This window comes from Homo sapiens, chromosome 4 (genome assembly GCF_000001405.40).
Source record: "Homo sapiens chromosome 4, GRCh38.p14 Primary Assembly".
NCBI lineage: Eukaryota > Metazoa > Chordata > Mammalia > Primates > Hominidae > Homo > Homo sapiens.
Window position 1 is genome coordinate 165,317,664 of NC_000004.12, and position 26,804 is coordinate 165,344,467.

At 37.6% G+C, this 26,804-nt stretch overlaps 2 protein-coding genes across 13 annotated transcripts in view, besides 2 other annotated features; both read left to right on the forward strand.

Moving 5' to 3' along the window:
• The window catches only part of KLHL2 (kelch like family member 2), a 115,596-nt gene extending 110,103 nt beyond the window's left edge, over positions 1 to 5,493 (forward strand). For 6 of the 10 annotated variants that reach the window (XM_047449560.1, XM_017007674.2, XM_011531572.3 and 3 more), the window contains 2 exons: positions 163 to 306; positions 4,369 to 5,493. In XM_047449560.1, the coding sequence (XP_047305516.1) occupies positions 163 to 306; positions 4,369 to 4,397 (173 nt within the window). In that variant the 3' untranslated portion in view covers positions 4,398 to 5,493. Of the gene's footprint in view, positions 1 to 162; positions 307 to 3,648; positions 3,689 to 4,368 lie in introns of those variants that run through there. The other 4 variants (NM_007246.4, NM_001331024.2, NM_001331023.2 and 1 more) reach the window with 2 other exon arrangements.
• Positions 9,605 to 9,944: a silencer, noted in NCBI's record as "silent region_15784". NCBI's record gives its function as "represses an Ori minimal core promoter by ATAC-STARR-seq in GM12878 lymphoblastoid cells {active_cell/tissue: GM12878}" and the evidence as "EXISTENCE:reporter gene assay evidence [ECO:0000049][PMID:35858748]".
• On the forward strand, positions 10,006 to 25,501 carry MSMO1 (methylsterol monooxygenase 1). 3 transcript variants are annotated; one of them, NM_001440534.1, is made up of 6 exons: positions 10,006 to 10,283; positions 15,677 to 15,962; positions 20,126 to 20,274; positions 20,989 to 21,115; positions 22,558 to 22,712; positions 24,088 to 25,501. In NM_001440534.1, exons 2-6 carry the CDS (start codon positions 15,708 to 15,710, stop codon positions 24,281 to 24,283), a joined length of 882 nt encoding a protein of 293 aa, NP_001427463.1. In that variant the 5' UTR covers positions 10,006 to 10,283; positions 15,677 to 15,707; the 3' UTR covers positions 24,284 to 25,501. The 3 variants fall into 3 exon arrangements, with proteins under 3 accessions (NP_001427463.1, NP_006736.1, NP_001017369.1); NM_006745.5 differs by having other exon boundaries at positions 10,006 to 10,101; NM_001017369.3 differs by lacking the exon at positions 15,677 to 15,962 and having other exon boundaries at positions 10,006 to 10,101.
• Positions 10,035 to 10,304: an enhancer, noted in NCBI's record as "active region_22119". NCBI's record gives its function as "activates an Ori minimal core promoter by ATAC-STARR-seq in GM12878 lymphoblastoid cells {active_cell/tissue: GM12878}" and the evidence as "EXISTENCE:reporter gene assay evidence [ECO:0000049][PMID:35858748]".

The following is a 26,804-nucleotide window of genomic DNA, read 5'->3' on the forward strand; positions in this document are numbered from 1 at the left end:
TATCCTAATATAAAACGAATTCTTTTCATGCTCACTATTTTCTCTTCTTGCCTCCTTTCAAAGAAATTAGTGTCTCTGGATTACCTCACTAAACATGTACAGTGATACTCATATTCATCCCAATTTTTTAAATAATTGTTTTCTCTCTGTAATTTTTTAAAGGAGTTTGTGCAGTTAATGGTCTGTTATATGTTGTTGGAGGGGATGATGGTTCCTGTAACTTGGCGTCAGTAGAATATTATAACCCAACAACCGATAAATGGACAGTTGTGTCATCGTGTATGAGCACAGGGAGAAGTTATGCAGGTAACAGTTGTCTCTAAAGTCAATTTCCGTACAAAAAGATGACCTCATTATGAATGTTATATTAACGAAGTTTTTCTGTTATAAGAATAAAGTCTTTTCTCAAGGTATAGTTTATATCTTATTCTTAAGATGATTAACATTGGCTGTGTATATTCTGAAATAAAGCACCAGTATACTTTTGTCATTCTACAGTCATTTGTATTCAAAATCCCAAATCTTTGATATACAAAATCATATAATAAAATTTAATGTAGCTAAAATCTGTATGCAGAGGAGAAGAATTCATATGTGGCAAGGCTTTAATTCCTGAGATGTCCAAGAAATAGGATAGGATTCCTACATCTCCCCATGGTGTGGCTCCATGAGATAGTATTATAGTGAGGCTGTGGAATAATTTTTCTTTCTTAAGCATAGTACTGGTTGAGTTATAAAATGTGATTTTTTGGTCCATTCTCTTAGTAAGATAAATGTTAATTTTAATAAATATTATGGTGAGTCTTTATGTTATTTATTTCAATTATATTTATCTTGCTTTTAATAGTATAATGTTTCTGTAACAAAATTGATCCAATAGTGGAGGAAGAAAATGTTTAAGCTCATTAACCATCACTGTTGCTTATGTATCATTCAAAACAGTACTGAGAAGAACTATGTACAGTAGAATTCCAGTATAACATGGGTGAATATTAGATGAATTTTTAAAACAACTTCATTGAGGTATAAACTGACAGAATACATAGCGTACAGTTGACCCTTGGACAACACAGGTTTGAACTGTGTATGTCCACTTACATGTGGATTTTTTTCAATAATTATGTTGGAAAAATTTTTTTGGAGATTGGTAACAGTTTGAAAAAACTCAGATGCACTGCATAACCTAGAAATATTGAAAAAATTAAGTTTAAGATTATGAACACATAAAATATACGTAGATACTAGTCTGTTTTATCATTTACTACAAAATATCTACAAATCTGTTACAAAAAGTTAAAATTTATCAAAACATATGCACACAAACTCTTATGGGAACAAACACCCACAAACCATAGATGGTGTCATTCACAGTCCAGAGAAATGTGAACAAACCACAAAGATACAATATTAAATCATAACTGCATGAAATTAACTGTAGTATGTTACTGTACTACTATAATAATTTTATAGCCGTCTCCTGTTGCTGTATTGGTGAGCTCAGCTGTTGTGAGTATCCACTTAAAAAGCTGTGGGGGGCTAATTACCTTTGAAAGAGCAGTTTGTCTCTTCAGCGATGCGTATCTCAGTAAAAAGTTCTCTCTCATGGTTCTGCCTTATTTTTCATCATGTTTACTGCAATATCATAAACCTTGAATAATACCATGGGACCCATACAAAGTGCCACCGGTGATGGTGCTAGGAAGTGCTTCAACGAAGCAGAGAAGAGTCATGACATTACAAGAAAAAGCTGAATTGCTTGAGATATACCATGGATTGAGGTCTGCTGCTGCACTTGCCCACCATTTCAAAATAAATGAATCCAGGGTAGGGATCATTGTAAAAAGGAAAAAGGAAATTCATGAAGCCGTCCCTGCAGCCATCCCAGCAGTTTTGAAAACTTCACACTTTTTGTGAAATCCCTTTTTATCTTGTGTTGAACATGCAGCTTTTATGTGGGTGCAGGATTTTTGTTTTTGAGACAGAATCTCACTCTTGTCGCCCAGGCTGGAGTGCAACAGCGTGATCTCAGATCACTGCAACCTCCGCCTCCCAGATTCAAACGATTCTCATGCCTCAGCTTCCTGAGTAGCTGGGATTACAGGGATGTGCCACCACACCTGGCTAATTTTTAAATTTTTATTATTTTTATTATTTTTGACTTTTTGGTTTTGGTTTTTGGTGGGTGCAGGATTGCTGTAAGAAAGGCATACCTGTCAACTCTAATATGATTTGAGAAAAAGGAAAGTCATTATGTGACAACCTGAAGCAAAAGGAAGGTGAAGGATCTAAAGCTGGAGAATTTCCTCAGCCTACTCAAGCAAAGGATGACTTGATAATTTTGGAAAGGGGTTTGGCTCAAAAAATGTCAAGATAACAGGAGAACACTTCTGTCAACCAAGGGGCCAGCAGATGAGCTCCCAGATGCCATGAAGAAAGTTGTTGAGGAGAATGGATATCTGCCTGAACAAGTTTTTAATGCAGACAAATGTGCCACCAGGGACATTTATTAGGAAGATAAGCAAGCACCAGAATTTAAGGCAGAAAGGGATAAGCTAACTCTACTATTTTGTGCAAATGCAGTTGGGTTTATGATTTGGACTGCTCTTATCTAAAAAGTTGCTAACCCCCAATCCTTGAAGGGAAAATATAAATACCAGCTGCCAGTCTTTTGACTGTATAACAAGAAGGCCTAGACAAGAAATCTTTTCCCGGACTGGTTCCATCTATGCTTCAGGTTCAGGAAGTACCATGCCAGTAAGGGACTGCTTTTTATTTTGATATTGGACAGTGCCCTTGGCCACCCAGAACCCCATGAGTTCAACACCAAAGGCATAGAAGTGGTCTACTTGCCCCTAAACACAATGTATCTAATTCAGCCTCTAGATCAGTGACCATAGGAACCTTAAAGTTTCATTATACATGGCACTCTATGGAAAAAATTGCCAGTGCTATGGAAGAGAATCTCAACAGAGAAAACATGAAAGTCTGGATGGATTACACCATTGAATATATCATTGTTATAGAAAAAGCTATGAAAGTCATCAAACCCAAAACAATAAATTCCTGCTGGAAAAAAACTGTGTTCAGATGTTGTGTATGACTTCACAGGAGTTATGACAGAGCCAGTCAAAGAAATCATGAAAGAGATCATGGATGTGGCTATAAAGGTTGATGGTGAAGGGTTTCAAGGTATGGATCTTGGAGAAATTCAAGAGCTAATAGATACCAAACCAGAGAAATTAACAGAACATGACTCGACGGAGATGAGTGCTTCTTAACCACTGCCAGACAATGAAGAAGATGTAGAAGCAATGTCAGAAAACAAATTGACATTAGACAGTCTGGCAAAAGGGTTTGGTTATTCAAGACTGTTTATGACTTACTTTATGAAATGGGCCCTTCTATGATATGTGCACTGTAACTGAAGAAAGTAGTGGAAAGACGATTGGTATTATGTGGAAACATTTTTAGAGAAATGAAAAAAACAAAAAAGTCAGACAGGAATTAACAGTGTATTTCCTTAAAGTTGCACCAAGTGTGTCTGCCTCTCCTGTTTCCCCTGCCTTCCCTTCCACCTCCTCCACCTCTTCTGCCTCTGCCACCCCTGAAACAACAAGACCAACCTCTCCTCTTTCTCCTCCTCCTCAGCCTGCTCAATGTGAAGAGACAAGGATGAAGACCTTGATGATGATCCACTTCCCCTTAATGAATAGTAAATATAGTTCCTCTTCCTTATGACTTTTTAAATAACATTTCCTTTTCTGTAGCTTACTTTAAGAATACAATATATAACACATAACATGTTATGACATACATAACATATATTACATGTAAAATATGTGTTAATTGACTGTATCAGTAAGGCGTTTGGTCAACTGTAAGCTATTAGTAATTAAATTATGCGGGAGTAAAAAATTATACATGGGTTTTTGACTGCGTGGAGGGTCAGCACCCCTGACCCCCATGTCGGTTCAAGGGTCAACTGTATATTTAAACTATATAATTTTATTACTTTTGACAGAGTATATACCCATGAAACCATCACCACAATCAAGATAATGAACATATCCATCATGCTCAAAAGTTTCTGTGTTCCCTTTTGAGTATATTTTCCAAATTGTAACTACAAAGAGGAAAAGACTAGTTCTGGATTAAATAGTCTTATATTTAACTAGCCCATAACTAAACAGAGTTTTCACTGTCATTTAGATTCAAATGATAATACTACTAAAGTTTAAGAAAGAGATTCTGAAACATGATTTGTACAGTTCCTCCTGCCTTCGTATTATAATGAAGAATTGAGTGTTTTCTCAGAGATACAGAGTGCTGCCTGTGACTTCTTTTTTCTCTCTTCATTTCTTTGCTCAGGGGTCACAGTTATTGATAAACCATTATGAGCCTGAAGGACATTTTCAGCATATTTATACATGAGAAACAGCCTTCAACAAGTATTTGTGAAGTGACTGAGAATCTAGCACTTCTCCACTTGTAGCTGCACTTTAAGTCTCAGCAGAAGATACGATCGTCTGCCTTTATAGGCCTCAGATACTGAAGATTATTTTTGGTAGAAGCACCGTGTAGGCTTTTTCTGCAATGAGCAGCAGCTGACTGAATTTTCATAAGAAACTTGGACTGCAGGACTTAATCTGTAGTCTTTAGACAACAGTTGCTTTCATAAAGACTAGTTCTTATCAACCTTGAATGACTACAGATTATTTTGTGAAGGAGGATGAAGTAATGTGTGTTCTTGTAAAATTAAATTTTATCTTTATTTCTTCTAAAAATCTGTATACCAGGAACTGAAAATCTTTGAACAGATATTAAAATCTACGTAAGTATACAAACTAGTTGAGGGATACACTGTTTGCTTTTATAAAATAACTTTGATTACATGAATATAATAAATTATGTGCATATAAATGTGTGTCTATATGCTTTCCTTTAAATATGTTTGAAAAGATGTTTGAAACTTGATTATACTATTTATAATTGGCACAGTACTTTGAATTATGCCAGTACTACATTGTAAAACAGAGTTGTATTTTTTGATATTTAACAATGCTTAACACTTTAAATGCCACTTCTGAGGAATGGACCTGGTGTAACACACTTGAATATGTGTGATGCCAAACTTTTTAAAATACAATATAAATTATGCTTATTTATTATTTTCTTTAGTTTAATCTTGGTCATGTTTTGGTGTGTATTTTTAATTTTTTTCTTAAATTAACACTTTGGCATGAACATTACTGCAGGTTTTTGATGAATATAATGAATGTATGGAATTCAATTGAATTTGCATGGTCTTCGGAATTTTTTCTGTGTGTATAAATTTAGCTGCTATTAACAGAAGAGAGAACTTTCTGTGAGTAGCCATGTGTGTTGATCAGATACAGTTTTTCTGAGATCTTCAATTAATCTCACTTTAAAAATGACCAAAACATGTCTTTCTTGAATTAACTTTGAATAAAAGTTTGTATATTATTTGTTTCACAGTGTTCTTGATTTTTATCTATTTAGTTTTGTGTTAAAGTTTCCTGTTAGTTTTTTTGCTCTTTTATAGTTTGCATTTTGTCACTTCACAAATCTGCATTTTTAATTTATTGCCAAAGTGACCTCACCTACAAGACAAAACTATTAAATGAATAACCGAAGTCAATAAAAATGGTTCTGTTTCCAAGGAAAAGTAACTTCAACTATCAAGGAGAGGTCTGTCAAGGATTGGTAAAATTTAAACCTTTTATATTTTTGTGTCCCTGATATGGGTAGGGCATGAGATAAGGATAAAACAAGTAGTATTAGACCAAAAGGAAAGTCAAAGAAAAAAAATACCTACTCCAAAGTAACTGAGAAATAAACTGTGGTTTTGATACCAAATAAAAGGAATTGAGGAAATAGGAATAGTGGAGTCAGGTAGGCAGCTGAGGTGCTGGACACAGCAGAGGAAGGGAAGAGGGGGAAGGAGGAGGTGATGGGATATTGTGACCATTCCTCAGGAATTAAAAAAGTTGGCATGAGCTGTTGCTAGACCAGTTGATAATCAAGAGGAAAGATTGCTATGATAACATTTCGATTCAAATTTAAACATGGAACCACATTTAATACTTAGTTGAACTTTCCATTATAAATGAATTTAATCAGAAAAAGCCTATGCTCAGTTGATGAAAACATGAATTTCTGCCTTACAGCACATCATTGTCAACAAACATATTGAAGGTCTAATGAACTTGGAGTAGTCAGCTGTTTCTGACAGAGGCACCAAGAAAAATGTATGAGGTCTCTGTCTGTCCTGATCACTTCCAAACACTAATGTTCTATATGAATCTATCAATTAAAGATTTATCTGAAAAATCTTAAAGCTTTTCTTAAAATATAATCTCAGCCTATTAAAGTAACAAAGACTTAACTACATAGCATGTCAAATACCTCTATCTTTACTTTCTTAATCTTTGAAGCTTTAATAGCTATACTATAATTGCCAAGGTTTGTCAGTAGCTGGATTCATAGCTATGATTTCAGAGACTTTAGACATACCTCCTTCCCCCATGCCAACCTTTGTCTTTCCAGTTTGAAATTTTTTTAAAGGCATATGGAAGTGTTCTCAGCCTGTTCCATTGTTGTATGAAAAATAAGAAGGCAGAGAGGTGTCTTAGAAATCCTGCCAAGGAAGCAGCCCCACGTTTGAGCAGAGTTCAAGGCTGGATCCACATACCTGCGTTGTGAAGCAACTCGTCTGCCTGCTTTGTTGGGATCTATGCCTCCTTGGCTGAAAGCAGTGATGACTGTGGTTAAGGCGGAAGGTGTATTTACTGTCAGAAGACTATCAGTTCTTTCCCTGTTTCTTATGGAGTCTGGTGTATGATTCCTGGTATTTATTATCTCTTTATCGTTCCTTACAGCATAAGAACCCAGGTATTTGTAATCCTAACTGCTGTTGCGTTATGAGACTTAACTTTATGAGGTGTAAAAGGGTCACATGAAATTACATAGCAGTGTGCTGACACCATCTTGGTTTAGTTTTGTCTTAAGCACACTGCCTCCTACTGACTTCCATGGCTGCCAGTGTCTCATTTTGGAGAGGAGGCTACGCTGGAGAATGGAACTATATTTTGAGTCAAGATTCTGGGGTTCTAATCCTGGCTTTAAGGAAAAAAGCCATGTGGTATATTGGAAAGCCCATGGGCATAGAAACAAAAGGGTTCTGGGTTTGCAGCTCCCTCTATCAATTGCTAGCTGTGACTTTCAACACATTACTTAACCTCTAATCCTTATTTTGTTTTTAAAATGGCAATAGGAGTGTCTGTGTCACAAGGTTGTTGCGTTTGAAAGAAATGATGCATGTTAATATGCTTGAAATCCAGCGGGCCCTCAATAAATTACAGCTATTGTTCCCTGAGCCCCCTGTTAATCTTCATTGTAGGGAAATAAGTGAGTTGAGCTGCTGCATCAGCATTTTTTTCCAGCTCTAAGCCTTTAAGGTTTAAAATAATCTGACCCCTCCATACACCTACACCTGCTCTGATTTAGAAAATGTAATACTGTGGTAGAATTCCAAATCAGAAATAATTGCTGACATTTACTGATCATATCTTGTATGCCAGAGACTGTGCAAAGGGCTTTACATACGTTATCTCATGTAATCATCATAAATAACTCTTCGAGGTGTAGGTATTATTATTTCACAGAAGTACCAGATAAGACAGAGAAGTAACTTATCCACTGCTAATAAAATGCCAAGCCTAGTAAGTGTGGCCCGATAGTGTGTGCTATTGATGCTCACCTGATAGAGGATGGCAGGTTTGGGCAGAGAGAAAAGTTGGGTGGCAGTGCAGTCATCACACAACCAATAGGATGGGGAGCTCTGGAGCTGGGATGGCCAAGCAAAGTAGCCCTACATTGGTTTAGGGGATTTTATACCCGTTTCAACCAGTTACTTGACTAGCTGTTGCCTAGAAAGGGGGTATACCCGTGGGGAGAGGTGCTTCTCTTTGGCAGTACTCAGCAGCTGGAGGAATGCCTGCTTAGGTCTTGAAGAGGGGGATCTGGGTGGTGTGCCACAGCATCCACTACAGGACCAACAGATTCATATGCCCACTGCACAGTATACACTGAGACAGCAGGGTTTGCAGAAGAGAAAGAGTTTAGTGATGGCAGGGTGCCGAGAGGAGATGGGAGGAAACCCTCAAATTCATCTCTCTGAGGAGTTCTGTGCTGGGGCTTTTAAGGGGATCCTGGAGGGCAATGGGCTGGAAAATTAGGGTCCTCGATTGGCTGGGGTAAGGAGGAATGAAACCATCAGGATGTGGGAACTGCATTCTTTGGTGAGTCAGCTCCTTGTCAGACCAGCTGAGTCAGTAGTTTCATCAGTACGAAGGACCTGAAAGGTTATCTCAAAGCACAAACTTAACGTTTCATAATGTTCAAGTTGTTGTCTATAGAGCAGTTAGGGGAAACTATAACCTTGTAACAGAGTCTACATGATTCTGAAGCAATAGGCAAACAATTATGAGGAAGGGGTCAGACAGCAAGCTGACCTAATTATTAATCCTCAGTGTGCTGCAAGCTTGGTTTAATTTCGTTCCCCCCACCCCTTTTTCCCAGATTAACTTCATAAAGTATATAGGCATGGTTTCAGACACCACTGTAAAGGCATCCTAAAGACAGGGCTGACTCTGACAACCAAGGGACAGATCCCATTTCTTTTCATTTGACGTGACCGCTGTCATGATACTTTACAAAGAATGTGTGTGCCAAACATGAGGGATAGACGAATAAGTACAGGTCACACTGAATCTAAAAAAGACACTTTTCAAGAGGGAACTTCCTCAAGGAGATAGTACCTGAATTGATGGGGCGGCATGGAGATGGCTGATTATTCCAGGCAGAAGGGCCAGTTTGAGCAAAAGCATGGAGGAATGAAACAATAGTATTCTGTTTTCAGAAGCTGTATATATTTGACACAATATACACATAATCAAAACATGTGTACGCCGTAAACACAATTTTTGTCAATTATACCTTAATAAAGAAGGAGGAAAAAGGGCCTTCACTAGCCCAAATGATGCCCCTGTGCGGTTTTTTCTTTAAAGGCACCTCTTCCGTTAAGTGAAAGTTTTAGTATATTATCACATCTGTACAGTTTTATTATTAAACCCCAGTACACAATATTTTAATGTTGAGAGATGGTGTAAACTGAGCTTTAGAGCTGCAAAGACCTGCGTCAAGCCCCCGCCCCCGCCCCCGCCCCCGGGCACTCATCGTCCAGCACAACAATTGCAACAACACCTGGGCGTTCTCTGCCCATGTAGCGAGGTCAAGGTCCTGGGAGCCGAACTCTCCCTTGATGTTCAATCTTTTTAAATCTTTCCCAGCCTTTATTTCTCATCTGCAAAATGACGATAATCGCATTTGAAATTCTCCGTTTTCAAAATGCAGGAATTTATTAAAGGATACGTAGGCTGGGGAAACAAGGGAGACGAAAGATCTAAATCTAAATGGTAGACCAGAAAAAGGAAGGCAAGGGTGTCTGGAAACACAAAACAGTCAACATAGATTTTAAGACTCATCTATACTCTCTTCTTCCCGGGTTTGGGAACTGCGGTTGCTACACAGGTCACATTTGAAATAAAAGTCCTGGGACGGCGGCCGGCGCGACACTCTCCCCCGCACAGCGCAGGCTCTCACTGGGAATCTGCCGGGACCGCAGTTGCCAAGGCGACTCCGCGCTGCAGGGCGAGGCGGCCATCCGTCTGTGCCCGCCCCCTCACGCCGTGGCGCGCTCTCACGCTTCCCCGCCTCCGGGCGCTCCGCGGTGCCGACCATTGGCTGGCTCTGCAGGTCTCACTATCCTCACTCCATCCGCGGAGCCAATGGCTGGGACCGCCAGGAGCTCGTTCGCGCGAGTCACACGATGTCGGCAACTGCACAGACCAATCACCGCGCCGAGAAGGCGGGGCGGGAGCTCTCGCAGGCCAATAACGACAGGACGGGCCGCCTGGCCCACCCGGCTCCACCCCCAAGCCAGGCGAGGCAGGTTCCGAGGTTGGAACACCTGGCGAGTCCTCGGTGTCGGTGGCCGGCAGTCATCTCGCGGCCGTTCAGGTGAGGGGGTTGGAGGAGTGGCTCATGAGCGAGGAAGGGGGAGCAGGCGGGCTCCCACCCGGTGCTCCGTGAGATCGAGGGGAGCGGGTTCTGGGTGCGGATGCACGCGCTGGGCGGGACGCTGGCAGTGGTACCCGAGACGGGGCGGAAGGAGACTGGAGTGAAGGTGGGCCTAGGCTAAGGTACGTGCTAGAAAGGATGAAAACGGAGTGAAATTCTTAAGTGATGGAACTAGGCTAGGGCATGTTTCTTGCCCTTTAAAATGTGTTGTCTTCGGGAGACAGGACGTAGAAGATAGTTGCAGCACAGGGTGATAGGCTGGCGAAAGTTATACAAAAGCAGGAACCACTAGAAGGAGGTAAGATGTAGTGTGCTTTGGGAGTAGTGGGGTTGGGAAGGGCGTCCGAGAGGAGGTTACTGAAGGATGACTAGGAGTTGAATGGGAGGACATCACCTGTAAGGGAACGATATTTCCGTGGGCAGAGAGGAATGAAGCAGTAGCAACCATGAGTGATCAGATACTGCAAAAATGTGAAGTGTAGGATGGCGAGAATGTAAGAAATGAAGAGTGAAGAAGTCTGGAAGGGCCTCGTGTGCATCAATCACAGCGGGGCTTGATCTTTATGCTTAGGGCAAGCACTCCCTTGAACTTTGAGTGTTTTAAGGAGGTTATCTCTGATGTTTAAATTTATATAGATCGTGGCATTGCATCTTAGAAATAAGGTTTAGGAAGGGCAAGCTTGGAGGCAGGGCAAGTCCAGAAAATGAAGGAGCTGGTGAAATCCGTGTTAAAGTGCCAAAGGACAGAGACTGGCTGACAGCTAAACTTCAAGGTTTCTGAGAATCCACAAATAACTAAATTTATCTAGTCAACCTGTTCCAGAACAGGCTTCCAGTCATTTAGGTTGCCCAAGAATGAGTAAAGGAAAAGGAAATTCAATTTTCCAAGACCTTGTTTCCCCTCTCCTCTTTAATTCCTTGTTCGGTTAGCAACAGTATATCCATTCCCTCGCTCCTTTGTGAAAAGTAAATTCCTGAATGTTAACTAAACCAAGTGTTTCTAAATTGGGTAAGAGTTTGAAGACTTAAGGCAGCAGAATGGGAGAGACTTAAAACGTTATGTCTGAGAATTAGGCATTAAAGGAGGCCTAGTATTTGGGCGGGGGTTGTGAGGAGCACATACTGAACCTTTGGACCTGTTGAGTGAGTTCATGTGCCTCTGAACTCTCTGACTGGATATGACCAGTAAACTTGGATAATTAGATCCTGGAGTTTAGGGGAGAGGGCTAGAGATAGAGATGATGGATGTCAGCATATTTTTAAAACAGAAAATAGTTAAGATCACCCAAGACAATCTGGAATCGTTAGAAGGGAGTAAGGAAGGCATTATTGGGAAACTTTCCAGCTTCAATTCTCATATTTTTTCTAATCTCCTGGTTGAGTCTTTGGAGTTGCTGTTCTCTCTATGCAAAACCCCTCCCTTGACCCTCTCTCCCTCACTCTATTTTTTAATTTGTCACCTCCTTCTCCTGTTCTAGGTCTCAGTTTAGATAGCACCTTTCTCTAGAAGTTCATAGCACTGTGTATTCCCCCCTTTATTGTTCTTATCACATAATTTTTGATGGTTTGGACACTAGTTGTTATTCCTCACTAAATTTTATGTTTTATGAACTCAGGGGTAAGGGCACCAGCTAGCACAATGAATGCACAATACTTGTCAGAGTGAATGCATTTAAGTTCCAAGAACCAAGGAAAGGCGGTATTTCAAGAAGAGAAGTATCAAATCTTCCAGATTAGTCAAATAAACTCCAAAAAAAAAAAAAAAGGTTTATTGGATTTGGCAGCTGGAGATCCATAGCGATTTTTTTTTTTTTTTTTTTTTTTTTTTGAGACGGAGTCTCACTCTGTCGCCCAGGCTGGAATGCAGTGTCGTGATCTCTGCTCGCTGCAACCTCAGCCTCCCGGGTTCAAGCAATTCTCCTGCCTCAGCCTCCCCAGTAGGTGGAATTACAGGCATACGCCACCACACCCGGCTAATTTTTTTGTATTTTTTTGGTGGAGATGTTTCACCATATTGGCCAGACTGGTCTGGAACTCCTGACCTTGTGATCCGCCCACCTCAGCCTCCCAAAGTGCTGGGATTACCAGCGTAAGCCACCACACCCAGCCTCCTTAGTGATTTTAGTAAGAGTAAGTTCAGTGCAGTGATGACAATAGAATGCAGATTGCAGTTGCTAGAATATAAACAGGAAATAAGAAGATAAAGACAACTCGTGGAATACCTTTTCATAGAGCTTAGGTAAACTGTAGGAATTATTCTCCTTGTACTCTAATACTTATTATGGGTTTTATTTATAATTATAGTGTAATATAATGGATGAGTGCATGGGCTTCCCCACTTAGCATTTGTTAAGCATTAACTTAACATTAAGCATTAGACTTTGGGCAAGTTGCTTAATCTTTCTAAACCTCAGTTATTTTATCTATAAAATGGTGATAAAATAATACCTACCTCACGAAGGTGTGGTAAGGATTAAAGTGAAAATGTAGAGAGCAGGTAGCATGCTTTGAACACAGTTCTTGGCACAGAAAGTGCCCAATAATTGTTAGTTTCTTGTAGCTATTACATGCCAGGTCCTGTGCTAACTAAGCGCTTTATATGCATTGTCTCTTGGACTCATTGGAAGACCTACTGTTTTAATTTTTGCTGCTGATAAAACTGCATCACAGAGAGGTTACCTAATTTGCCCAAGGTCACAGGACAGGACTAGTAAGTGGTCTTGGTTCATTATTGTCAAATTTACTAATCACCTTGAGAAAAATTAAGATTGGATGGTTGCCTTATTTTACAACTTAGAAGATGATTGAAGACATTTTGGTGCAGGTGGGGAGCCAGATTGCAAGTAGCTCAGTGAGTTGTGTGGGTGAGTTAAGCAACCTTTTTTATTCTTTTTTTTTGAGACGGAGTTTTGCTGTTGGTGCCCAGGCTAGAGTGCAGTCACAGCTTACTGAAACCTCCACCTCCTCATTTCAAGCGATTCACCTGAACTCCTGACCTTAGGTGATCTGCCCGCATCAGCCTCCCCAAGGTGCTGGGATTACAGGCGTGAGCCACCATGCCCAGCTGAGTTAAGCAATCTTTATGTAGAGCTCTCCTTTGAGAAAGAAGTTGGTTGGTTCAAAGAAAGATAAATGGGACAGTGGCTTGGAAGAGGTAATGGAGGCTAGGAAGGTGTTTATCAACAAAGGAAGATGTAGGCTGGGCGCAGTGGCTCACACCTATAATCCCCACACTTTGGGAGGCTGAGATGGGAGGATTACTTGAGCCTAGGAGTTTAAGACCAGTCTGGGCAACATAGGGTGACCCCTGTCTCCACAAAAAATTAAAAAAATTAGCCAGGCGTGGTGGCATGTGCCTGTGGTCCCAGCTACGAGGGGCTGAGGTGGGAGGATTGCTTGAGCCTGGGAGGTCGAGGCTGCAATGAGCCATAATTGTGCCACTGCACTCCAGCTTGGGTGACAGAGTGAGACCCTGTCTCAAAAAAAAAGAAAAAAAAAAAGAAAAGACGTGAATGTGTTTTTAGACCTGAAGGAATGGATTCCATGAAGGGAGAAGGATGAAAGATGGGAAAGGATAAGTGATGGACAAGTTCTTGAGGTAAGATAAGAACACAGGAAGACTAGTCAGTCTTAGAGGAAAGAATGAATGAGCAAAGAAATTTTAAGGCCTGTAATGACACAGGATGGAACACTATAGTCACTGTGGTGTAAGTCATTTGAGATGAGTAGGACAGAAGGAGGACGGCCTGAAGTGAATTCAGATGCCTGGAGGAGTTGGCTAGGTTCTCAATATTCCTTCTGTAGAATGGGATAAAAGGTCAGTTTGAGAAGTGTTGGGGAAGGGGACTTTTAAAGCACTATTTAGAATGCTTCTGAGGCTTTAAAATACTCATTTTTAAAATGGTCCAAAAAATTCATAAATTAGAAGCAGCAGTGGTGAACATTTTTAGGAAAGTGACCCTTGAGAAGTTTATTTTTTGGTTAGTGACCTATTGAGCTTATTTATTAGGTAAGTAGAACATGCTCATTTAAAAAGTTTAAATTGTGCAAAAGACATATGTCAGATTTTTTTTTCTGTCTTCCATAACACTATTTCCTACCCCGCCGCGCTCTGTCTTCCGTAACACTCTCCCCTACCCCGTCGCCACTCTGTCTTCCATAACACTGTCCCCTACTCCACCACACTGTCTCCTACCCCGCCGAGCTGTCTTCCATAACACTCTCCCCTACCCCGCCACGCTGTCTTCATTAACACTATCTCCTGCCCTGCCACACAACTCTGTTTTCCTAGAAGTCACCAGTGTGAATTTTTCCCTTTATCCATATGTACATTTTTTGTTTCTGTGTGTCTGTGTATATACATATGCATAAAAGTGCATAGATAAAATACATATCCTTTTCAAAAAATCTTAAGTGGGGCTCTTGCTATGCATACTGTTCTGTAACTTGTTACTTGGATTAACACTGTATCTTAGACATCTTTCTATGTAGAGCGTATAGATCTTCCCTGTTCTTTTAAATGGCTGTATAATTGTCTATGGAAGGACTTAATTTATTTAACCCATACCTTGTTGATGGCTTATTTGTGTTTTGCTTTTATTTTTTCCTCTTTGTTTTTGCTGCTACAAGCAATGCTTCCTTCCATCTTAGCGGATCTGTCTTTGTACCCTTGAATGAGAAAGTTGCTGGATCAAAGGATGTATTCATTTTGAATTAGGTGTTGCTAATTTTTCCTCCAATGATACACTGATGTATCCCCCCTGCCCACAGTGTGTGGTCATGCCTGTTCTCTCACCCTCTTACCAGTACTGGACATTAATAAGCTTTTAAAGATTTGCTACTCAGGCTAAAAGTGTCTCTTTGTTTTAGGGTGCATTTCCTCATTTAATGAAGTGAAGATTCTTCCTTGTTTAGTGACCATTTGCCTTTATTTTTCTGTGAACTGCTTGTGAATGGCATTTGTCGTTCTTCTGTTGTCTTTTTAGTCTTTTTTCTAAAGCACACTTTGTAGCCCTTTGTTGTAAAATGTTGGAAATATTTTTCCCAGTTTGTCATTTAATCTTTGACTTTGTCTTTCTATTCCCCAGTAGGAGGTACTTAATTTTTATATACTCATATTTGGCAGGCTTTTTCTTTATAGGTTCTTTTGGCTTTAAGTGATACTTTTAAACCCAGCTATTGCTCATTTAAATTAGAACCTTTTCCATGAGAACCACACTGACGATTTCTTTAAATATAGCTTGAAAAAATTTTTCCCCTATTGTTCTTTTAGCTATTGTTCTTGAAAATAATGTGTTTTTTAAAGGAATATCTACAAATAGAAATGGTGATGATATCCAGCAAATGTTTTAAAATGGTGTAAAACCATTTGTACTCCTTTAGTAATTTTTTGGTAAAAAATTTATACTCCTTTAGTAATTATCATTTTTAAAATGATCAGAGGATGCATTTTTTAACTGTTTTATTTTTTGAAAGCTCATTGTTTAACTTATTATATATGTATTCATTTCTACAGAATTATAAGGCTGTCTGCAGAGATTTGAAAAATGGCAACAAATGAAAGTGTCAGCATCTTTAGTTCAGCATCCTTGGCTGTGGAATATGTAGATTCACTTTTACCTGAGAATCCTCTGCAAGAACCATTTAAAAATGCTTGGAACTATATGTTGAATAATTATACAAAGTTCCAGATTGCAACATGGGGATCCCTTATAGTTCATGAAGCCCTTTATTTCTTATTCTGTTTACCTGGATTTTTATTTCAATTTATACCTTATATGAAAAAATACAAAATTCAAAAGGTGAGTATAAGGGACTAGAAATAGAATATTATCATTAATGTTGCTGAATATTTTAAAAGTACATAGGGCTTTGTTTTGTGAGGCTAAAGCAGTGATATCCAATAGAAATATGAAGCCACGTATGTAATTTTAAATTTTCTAGTAGAATACATAGAAAAGGTAAAAAGAAATAAGGAAATTAATTTCATAATGTGTATCATTTAGCTCAATAAATGTAAACTATCGCTGGGTGCAGGGTCCATGCCTGTAATTCCAGCACTTTGGGAGGCCAAGGCAGGAGGATTGCTTGAGGCCAGGAGTTCAAGACCATCCTGGGAAACATAGCAAGACCCTGTCTCTACAAAAAAGATACAAAAATACCCAGGCATGGTGATGTAAGTCCTAGCTACTTATGAGGCTGAAGCAGAAAGATTGCAGCACTATACTCTAGCATAGGCGACAGAGTGAGACCTTGTCTCAAAAAAAATAAGAAATAAATGTAAATTATTATTTCAATCAGTAATCAAATTCTAAAAAATACTTAATGAGATATTTAATAAGTCTTTGCAATTCCGTGTGTATTTTACATTAATTTTAGTCTATCTCAATTTAGACTAGCCATGTTTAAAGTGTTTGGAAGCCACATGTTACTAGTTGCTCCTGAATTGAGCAACACAGTCCTAGGTCATTATTGATAACATTTCAAGAATACTTTGTTAAATTGGGCTTTAAGTAGATGTGATGGTTATCTAACTTAAGTTTATGAATTTTAATGTTTAAGCTAGCTGGAAAGGAAAGGTGTGGTGATTTGCGCATATTTTGCAGTTCACCCCAACTCTATGTTCCAGTAAATCTAAGGGACTGTTAATACACTACGACCTTGATCAGGGCTATTCAAGTTTTTTTTCCCTAAATATATGGTAGGTAGTTCTGCAGCATTCGTATCATCCCAAATAAGGAGGTGATGCTCCTCGTTTCTGGATATTTGCTTCATTGCACTAAATGTTGAGAGGTCGCTATGTACATGACAAGGTGAAATCTCATATGTAGCCTGTGAGCTTGACGTGAGAATTTGGAGTAGCTTATTAGAAAGATGAATTATTTGTTAGAATTTGTAAGCTGATGATAGTTTCTAGTGTTTGCTGTTTACTTTTCATAAAAAGTCATTCCAAACTAAAACTCAGGGGCACACAGTCTTGGTAGAAAGTAGACCATTGAGAGTATTCATCTATGGAAAGTAATTTACATTCACTTAGTACAATTGGCCCTCCATATCCATGGGTTGTTGTATCCATGGATCCAACCAACTGCAGATCAGAAATATTCAGGGGAAAAAAATTGTGTCTACACTGAACATGTACAGTCTTTTTTTTCCTTGTCATTATTCAAAATGACAACTATTTATAGAGCATTTGCATTTTATTAAGTATTATAAGTGCTGTAGAGATGATTTAAAGTATACGAGAGGATTCGTGTAGGTTATGTCAAATACTATGTCATTTTATATCAGGCACTTGAGCATCTTCAGATCTTGGTATTTGCAGAAAGTCCCAGAACCAATCCTCAAAAGATACCAAAGGACAACTGTATATATTTTGGATGGCAGTCTGTACACATTCTCTGTTATCATTCTGTTAGTTTCACAGCCTCTCCCAGAGTCTCACTTTAAGCAGGTATTAATATTAGTCCTCTCTGGGGATAATGCAGGGGTCAGATGACTGTGGACTCCAGGCCAAAGGAGAAAAGAGCAAAGGGTAAAGGCGAAGGAAATAAAAAATAGGAGGGCCAAAGGAGAGTACTCTGTGACCCTCAATTAAGGTCACAGAAGCTCCAAAGTGCTTTTTAGGAAAGCAGCTGCTTTGAAAGGCAGAATTAAGTTTGGACGTCTAAGTTCTAATGCACCTTTAGGGTGATTGTGGCTGCCGTGTTTCACCCAGTGATTTATTTATAGGGCTTATTCATTGTAATTCATTGTATGGCTGGCCAGGCAAAAGCATCCTTTTTCTCCTTCACTGCAGTTTGTAACTGACTCACTGGTTAGAAGTAGTAACCTTTGCAGAGAGACAAAGGACTTTCTCAGGCAAGGGTATATGAGCAGCTTTAAAATATAATGTGGCAAAGGAAAGAATAAGCTGTAGTCTAGTTGGTCAGAGCTAGTTGTTTATGAACAGATTGTAAGGCTGGATAATTTGACTTCAAGTCTGTACTCAGCAAGTCTTTATGTTTCATAACCATTAAAGTCCATGCTTTGAGCATTTTTGATAAAAAATGTGATTTTAAACCAGGACTAGTTTTCACAAGTTAAAGGAGTTTTAAAAGAAACCAAAATATTGGTACAAATTAATTACAGGTTTATGCATTTCGAAGGCAGATACCCTGATTAACATTGAGGGTATCAATTGTTTAAGATAAAATATTTGAGAATTATATTTAACATATGCAATAAATGTTTTTATTCTTAAAATTGTCGAAAAGAATAGAAGAAGTTGGTGGTGGTGATGAAATAGTACTAAAGACTTTCTGCTTTCAAACAGAACAGACAACTGGAGAGCTAATGCACATCCTTGCTAGTTAGGCGAAAATTTCACAGGAATGAAAAAGTAAAGCAGACTTTGCAGGATCTATTTCTTTAAAAAAAAAAAAAACATACATCTTAGTAATTCTCCAAAAATTTTCCTCAAAGATAAATGTACTAAAAATATTATTTCTGAAGTTTGTGGCCCTTGTAAAGGTATTCCTTTATATTAAGTACAGTTATGCATAAAGAAAGTAAAATATGGTAAACTTTCATATTGCACTAGGTATGAATTTGTATTGCTAACTGTCTTTGTAACTAATTTATGTATACTGTAAATGGTATAGCATGTGATTTTATTATAGTTGATTAACTTTGTAATTTCTGTAACTGCATCGATATCCCAGTCTACCTGGAAAATTAAGTCTATTAACCATAGTTGCTGTAGGAGACAGTACTATTGCCAACTGAAGCCTGAATCCTTCATTTATTTTGTCCCCAATTACAGAGTGGAGGTTTAGAGGAGTGGGGTTAGATAATGCTCAGATTAGAAATACAAAGGCAGCTGTCAGATCCTCCCATTTTATTGTTGAAGAAACTGAGTTGTAAACATCACAAGAGCTAGTTAACTGGTGAGTAGCAGCCCTGGTATTAGAGCACAAGTCTCTGGATTGATTCTTAGTTCAGTGCTTTTCCTATTTTTGTCAGGAAGATAACCCTTAAAGAATTTCAAGAACAGAGCTGGATCTGGAGACCTAGATTTTAGTTAGTCCAACTTCTGCTAATAACTGCGTGTGTGACCCTGCCCAAGCTGGTTGACCTCTTTGGGCTTCTGCTGATGCGCAGTAGTTCCCGTACTTTGGATATCGTGGTTCAATTAAAAGAGTTTTGTTGGCGGATACCTGAATTTTTCAGCAGTGACATTTAAAACAAAGCAATAACTGATATTTATTGTCACCATCGTTTTGTTAAGCCCAAAGCACTTTTTTAAGTGCAGTCCTATAAATTGAATACATTTAGTTAGTGTTTGTTTTGTTTTGCTTTGTTTTTTATAATGACTTGCTAAGCAAATGGGTATCCTGATGAGGTCTTAACGAACATCCCATGTTGATCTAACTTTTCTCATTTTGACTTGAATCTGTGAACTCCATAATCAGGACATATCTGTGTACTTCTCAACTCAGAGAGTTTATAATTCTGTCATTGGATTTGAACAAAAGTGCATTTATTTGTTGGAATGAATACCACTGAGTGCCTGGAAGCATCGACTTACTGTGTAAAAGGCTTCCAATGCTTCGTATACAACTTCTTCAATTGTGGACACCCAACAGTAATCTTAGCATATTATATTTCTTCTTCTCTGAAACTTCTGGTAAAAGAAGTGAAGTGAATGATCTGTGGCAGCAAAGACTGGAGAATTATTCATTCCATAGTGTTTCTTAGTTTGTTTGAGATCATCATGGCTAGGCGCATCTGTTAACAGTTTCTTCACCTGAAGTAGTGATAGTAGTTGTCAAGAATTTAGAAGGCAAAGATTCCTGAGTCTTAGTTATATAAAGTTAACATAACTGACGTAGAATTAAGGTCCAACATAAACAGAGAACAAATTAGGTCAAGTTAAACTCTGATAGCAGAGACTAATATTAGATATTGTGATTTTTCTTCGTAGGATAAGCCAGAGACATGGGAAAACCAATGGAAGTGTTTCAAAGTTCTTCTCTTTAATCACTTCTGTATCCAGCTGCCTTTGATTTGTGGAACCTATTATTTTACAGAGTATTTCAATATTCCTTATGATTGGGAAAGAATGCCAAGATGGTACGTAGATAAAAATTTGGCTTTTACACCCAATTGTGGCTTATTCAGTTAAGTTATACTTAATGTTTACCCGTTTTCTTAATTTTAGTTAATGTTTGTTCTAAACTTTGGAAGTAAATAAATAGTAGAAAAGTAAACCACAGTAAAATCTTAAAATGTTTCCATTTTTACATCTTTTAAATATTTTATTGGAAGGTGAGCTTCTAGTATCAGAAGTTTCCATAACGTCTTTTGTATGTTTATATACATGTATAAGTGCTTATGTTGACAAAAATATATTACATTTTAATTTTAAAATGAATGAAATATATGAGAATCATTTATGAGGTTTATAGAAATTGTGTTTACATGAACAAAAATATGTATGTGTATATATATATATATATATATATACACACATATATATATACACACACATATATATACTCATGCGTCACTTAACGGATATCTCTTGAGAAAAGTGTCATGAGGCAAGTTGTGTGAACATTGTAATGAAATGAAATTGGTCTAATGGGCAGTCTCTTTAACCTTATATCAAGTTATGTAGCTGTATCTGGTGGTTTTGAGAATTTATTTATGAATATATCCAATTAGGTCAACCTGGTAAGTGGGTGGGTGGTTTTATGTAATGTCTCAAGCAGTGATCCCAACTAAAAGTCTGGATAGTTTAAGTAAAAATTATTTCTTACACATTACAACATTTTTATCTTAAAGGTATTTTCTTTTGGCAAGATGCTTTGGTTGTGCAGTCATTGAAGATACTTGGCACTATTTTCTGCATAGACTCTTACACCACAAAAGAATATACAAGTATATTCATAAAGTTCATCATGAGTTTCAGGTATGTGAGAGTTATATTTAATTCTTTCTGTTAGAGGCAAAATGTCTATTTTAATTGCCTGAGCATTTTTCTAAAATTGTTGGTGACGTTTTTATTTTCTTTTCCTTTGGCATGATTATTAAGAACAATACACACACATACAAACAAGCCATTTCTACACATTGTTTTCATTATTTAAATTTCATGGTAAATTGAGATCTGAAAGAAAAATATTATATGAAAGTTCGGACTTCCATCCTTGTGGACAGTGCTACACTGGCACAGCTAGATCCTCACATTGCTAACTCCCACAAAAACAGTAACTTCTATGAGCACTGCTTTTTTTTTTTTTTTTTTTTTTTTTGAGATAGAGTTTTGCTCTTGTTGCCCAGGCTGGACTGCAATGGCATGATCTCAGCTCACTGCAACCTTCACCTCCTGGGTTCAAGCAATTCTCCTGCCTCAGCCTTTCAGGTAGCTGGGATTACAGGCATGCGTCACCACGCGTGGCTAATTTTGTATTTTTAGTAGAGACAGGATTTCACTATGTTGGTCAGGCTGGTCTCGAACTCCTGACCTCAGGTGATCCACCCGCCTTGGACTCGCAAAGTGCTGGGATTACAGGCGTGAGCCACCATGCCCGGCCAATTAGAATTGCTTTGATGTAGCTTTGTCAACTGGTTATGTGAGTATGTTTTGCATTGACCGTGATTACATGGTGTGCCAAATCAAGCCTCTCTTTATTAGAAGAACAAATATAAATACTTAAGTCAAAATTAGAGTTCAAGTCAATTATTTAATGCCTTTATCTTAAACCATCAAAGACAGCAAGATTTTATATCCCTAGACTTTTGATGTGGAGTAAGGTATTTTTATTGAGAATTGCTAGTATTATTTATAAGTGTATGACTAGATAAATCATCACTACATATAGAATCAATATAACTTTGTAAAACTTTATGCATAAATAGGATATATATATTAGTGAAGTCTCCAGTGAAGCAGAATCATTGGGGTATATATATGCAGAGAGAGATTTATTTTAAGGAATCAGCTCATGCAAGTGTGCGGCTGTCAAGTCTGAAATCTGTAAAGCAGGCTACAGACTAGAAATCCAGGTAAGAATTGTTGCAGCCTTGGGTCCAAATTCCATGGAGCAGCAAGTTGGAAACTCAGGCAGGGTTTCAGTGTTGCAGTCTCGAGAATCCTTCTTCAGGAAACCTCAGCCTTTTATCCTGAAGGCCTTCAAATGATTGGATGAAGCCCACCCTCATTATGAAGGGTAATCACCTTTACTCAGTCTACTGATTTAAATGTTAACAACATCTAAAAAATACCTTCACAACAACATCTAGACTGGTATTTAATCAAACAGTTGGATATCATAGCCTAGCCAAGTTGACACATAAAATTGACCATCACAATAGCTAAGAAATTAAGAATTTCTTATCTGTTTGTCTTAGGCTCCATTTGGAATGGAAGCTGAATATGCACATCCTTTGGAGACTCTAATTCTTGGAACTGGATTTTTCATTGGAATCGTGCTTTTGTGTGATCATGTAATTCTTCTTTGGGCATGGGTGACCATTCGTTTATTAGAAACTATTGATGTCCATAGGTGAGTATTAATTTCTGTTCAGGTATAAAGCATAATGAAATATATTTATTTTCATGGCCATAAGATTATCATATTTCTAAGGAGACTAATAGGAGAAGTTAATCTTCTTAATGTTATATTAAGAAAACATAACTGTTGGATAAAAGTTTAAATAATAGATGTTTTTACATTCTAGCCTATGCTGTTATAATTTTTATAGTGATAATGTGTTATTAGGGCAAGTATATATTCAGGACCAGCAATTTCCTTATCCTTCTGTAATAAACCTAAACTTAACTCATATTTGAAAAAAATATCAAAGCATTCAGCCTTCCTTGAATAAGACTTTCTAATCTCTACTGTTCAGCACTGATAAAGGCACTTGCAAGATGAAACTACTACTTGTAACACATACATATTTCAAATGCATCCTTTCTGTTGATTGGAAGACATTTTGTGGTAAATTATTTATATTGAATGCCTTCTTAAATGCTTATCCTAATTGTTCATTATTTTTTAATTATATGTTCATTGCATTTTGACTTGGGACATACTTCTGTACTCATGAATGCAGAATATCAAATTCTAAGAATTATTTTTAAAGTGCTAAAGTAGCAAAATTAATGCTTCTAGTCCTAGGCAGAGAATATTCTTCTGTAGAAAAATTGTAATTGACATTTCTTTCTTTTTTTTTTCTATCCATTGTTTCTTTCTGCCTTCCTTCCTCTAAGCTCCTCAAAGGAAGAGAGGGTTAGAGTGATTCAAATAAGTATAACTGGATGTCTGATTGTAGATATGTAGTTGGAAATAAAGGAGCATACTTTAAATGGGACTCTTTTTTGAAGCCATTTGTCTTCTGCCAACTATAGAAAAGTACACTGGTATTTTGATTAATTGTGGTACATTTGATTCCAACTTGTCATTGCCTAAAAAAGTAAATGAAGTTGCTATACAGGGATTCATGGGCCTGCCCTTTTTAATACTTGATACTAATTTTATGTGACTTTTCCTAAAAAACATATTTAGTATTTTGGGCTTTATTTACAACTGTTATACATGATGGTGAGAAAGCTTCCTCTAAAACATAAAAGAAAATTAATTCTTAAAAATCTGTGTCTAAAGATTCATTACTATAATCCGTCTCTTCCATCATTCATATATTTTATCATAAAATAAATGATTTTCTTAGTTTTTTTAAGGATTTTTTTTCTTAGAGTGGTTTCTAGAATATACACCATTTTCTGTGTTTGCTGTTTGTGAACACTTAGAAATAAAGTGGTCTAGGCAAAGTGGCATGTTATCTAAATTGGTTAATGTGAACACATGATTATTAATAAAAACAACAATCATTTGAGATGTATTTATTCCTTAATAATCTTTATCATTTTTGTTTCAGTGGTTATGATATTCCTCTCAACCCTTTAAATCTGATCCCTTTCTATGCTGGTTCTCGGCATCATGATTTCCACCACATGAACTTCATTGGAAACTATGCTTCAACATTTACATGGTGGGATCGAATTTTTGGAACAGACTCTCAGTATAATGCCTATAATGAAAAGAGGAAGAAGTTTGAGAAAAAGACTGAATAAATATCTCACGTAAACCTTCCTGAAAGATAAACGTTTTCCTGAATTCAGAAACTAGTAGCTAACATTGCTTCTGGAGAGCAGAAATAAGCATGTCTTCTGGCTACTAAGTGATAAAAAGAACATTAACAACCTTTAATTACCTTCCTAGTGGGAACTTTTTCTACTTTACCTACAAGTTCTATATATGTAGAAATGAATAAATATATATTTAAGTACAGTTTTCATGAGGAAGTTTTAAAAGACCATGTTCCTAAGCTTCCAAGAAGGTTTTGGATACTAGAAGTATTAATCTATGGCTTTTCTCCCAGTAAAACCATAGGCCTGAAGTTCACATTGGGTCTTTAAATCTTTTAGATATATACTGGTCATTTCAGAAAATTCTTCATAGTGGTATTGGCCTTATATTTAACTTTTTTTTTATTTTTTTTTTGAGACAAAGCCACACTCTGTCTCCTTGGCTGGAGTGTGGTGGCACAGTCTCAGCTCACTGCAACCTCTGCCTCCCAGTTCAAGCAATTCTTCTGCCTCAGCCTCCCAAGTAGCTGGGATTACAGGCACCCGCCACCACGCCCAGCTAATTTTTGTATTTTTGTAGAGATGGGGTTTCACGATGTTGGCCAGGCTGGTCTCAAACTTCTGACCTCAAGTGATCTGCCCACCTTGGCCTCCCAAAGTGCTGGGATTACAGGTGTAAGCCACTGCGCCCGGCCTTTTTAACTTTAAACATGTTTTAGAATTCACCTAAAGATCAAAATATCATGGATTGAACCTCATCAATTGATAGCAGTGAGTGACTGAAGCTTCCAAATCAAGAAAAGCCGGCACCAAGAACTTCCATTCTAATCTAGAGCTGACCAGTTTGAGCTGATTCTCTCTTTGAAGAGTCCTTCTTGATTGCAGTGCAGTACTGGCATTTCTGAATGGATGTAAGTGGAGTATTTTAGTCTAAAGGCTTTTCAAATTACTTGAATTTTTTTAAAAATTGAGGAGCTTTATTTCTATTTACCCTTCCATTTTTGTATATCAAATTTCCATTGTCATTAAAAACTGTATCTTGAAACTTTGTGAACTGACTTGCTGTATTTGCACTTTGAGCTCTTGAAATAAATGTGATTTTTGTGTGATTATCTGGTTTCCAGTTTTAAACATTAACTGTCACCTTTTATTCTTAAACTTGAAAGTACAGAAATCATTAAATTATTAAGTTGTACAATAAAAGGATTGGTTTCTTTTCTTTTTTTTTTTTTTAAGTGCTTCCTTTGCCGAAATGTTTCCTGGCTGTTTGAACATGAATTTTTCAGGTTTAAGTATTGTGGGAAATCATCTTGACCTAATAAAGCAATACATACTGAAGCAGTTCTTTGCCCTGCTTAGATAATGTATGTTTTCTGTACAGTTGAAGAATAGAGCTAAACTTTTCAGGGCTGATAAAATCTCAACTATCTAGTTTGTAACTCATCAAGGGTTGGGAATTCTTAGTATGTGGTGTTAATTATTTTTATTTTTTTAAGCTGCGGAGTCATTATCTGGTAACTTCCTTTTTTTTCTTTTTCTTTTTTTGAAACCTTACACGGTAAAGATGTCCAGGTGTAAGGGATTCAGATACTTAAAACTGAGAATGTTTTGTTTGTAGGTCATGCTTTATACCTTGTATGTGGTTCATATGCCCACGTGTGTGTGTGTGTGTAAATTTGTTGTAATCCTCAAGCAACAAATTTGGGGCTGGCTGCAATTAAAATTGTGCTATGTGCTACAAATAGAGCTACCATAAGATCCAGAAATCCCACTACCGGGCATTTATCCAAAGGAGATGAAATCGGTATATGGACGAGACATCTGCACCCTCAAGTTTATTGTAGCACTTCACAATAGCCAAGATACCGAATCAACGTACCTTTTACTCCCTAATCAAGGAATGCCCAGCATCTGAATTAGCAATAAAAGGTGACTCCCTGTCAGCACTTAGGGAGAGAGTGACACCTGCTGCTGGAAGCGCTGCGAAACGTTTTAAAACAACTTGGTAAATTCCAACTCATGCTTCATACTACACATTTATTGAGCACTTTGTGTCCTGAATTGTGCTATGTTTAGTGTGCTGTGATTTTAATGCACGTTCTCATTTGATTTCTGAGATAGATGCTATTGTCCCTATTTGATAGATGAGATAATTGAGAGGTTCAGGTCACAGGCTTGGTCTTTTTGACTTTCGAAGCTGTGCTTGTGGCTACTATGTTCACTATGCTGGAGAGTTGCATCTTCTATAAAACTCGTAGGGAATACTTTTAAAAGTGATATTTGAAGAGAAATAAGGTTCTAAACTAGTAGTCATCCAGGAAGTGGTAAGACACATACAAGTATGTTGGTATGGAGTAGACTTTAAGCTAACTTACCAGCCAAACCTTTCTTTTTAAAATTACTTAAATTAAGCTTTTAACTATACTGGCATTTGATAATTAGACAAAAATAAATATGAAGACTAGAATACAAAACGGGGTACATAACTGACTCTAGCAAATAATTG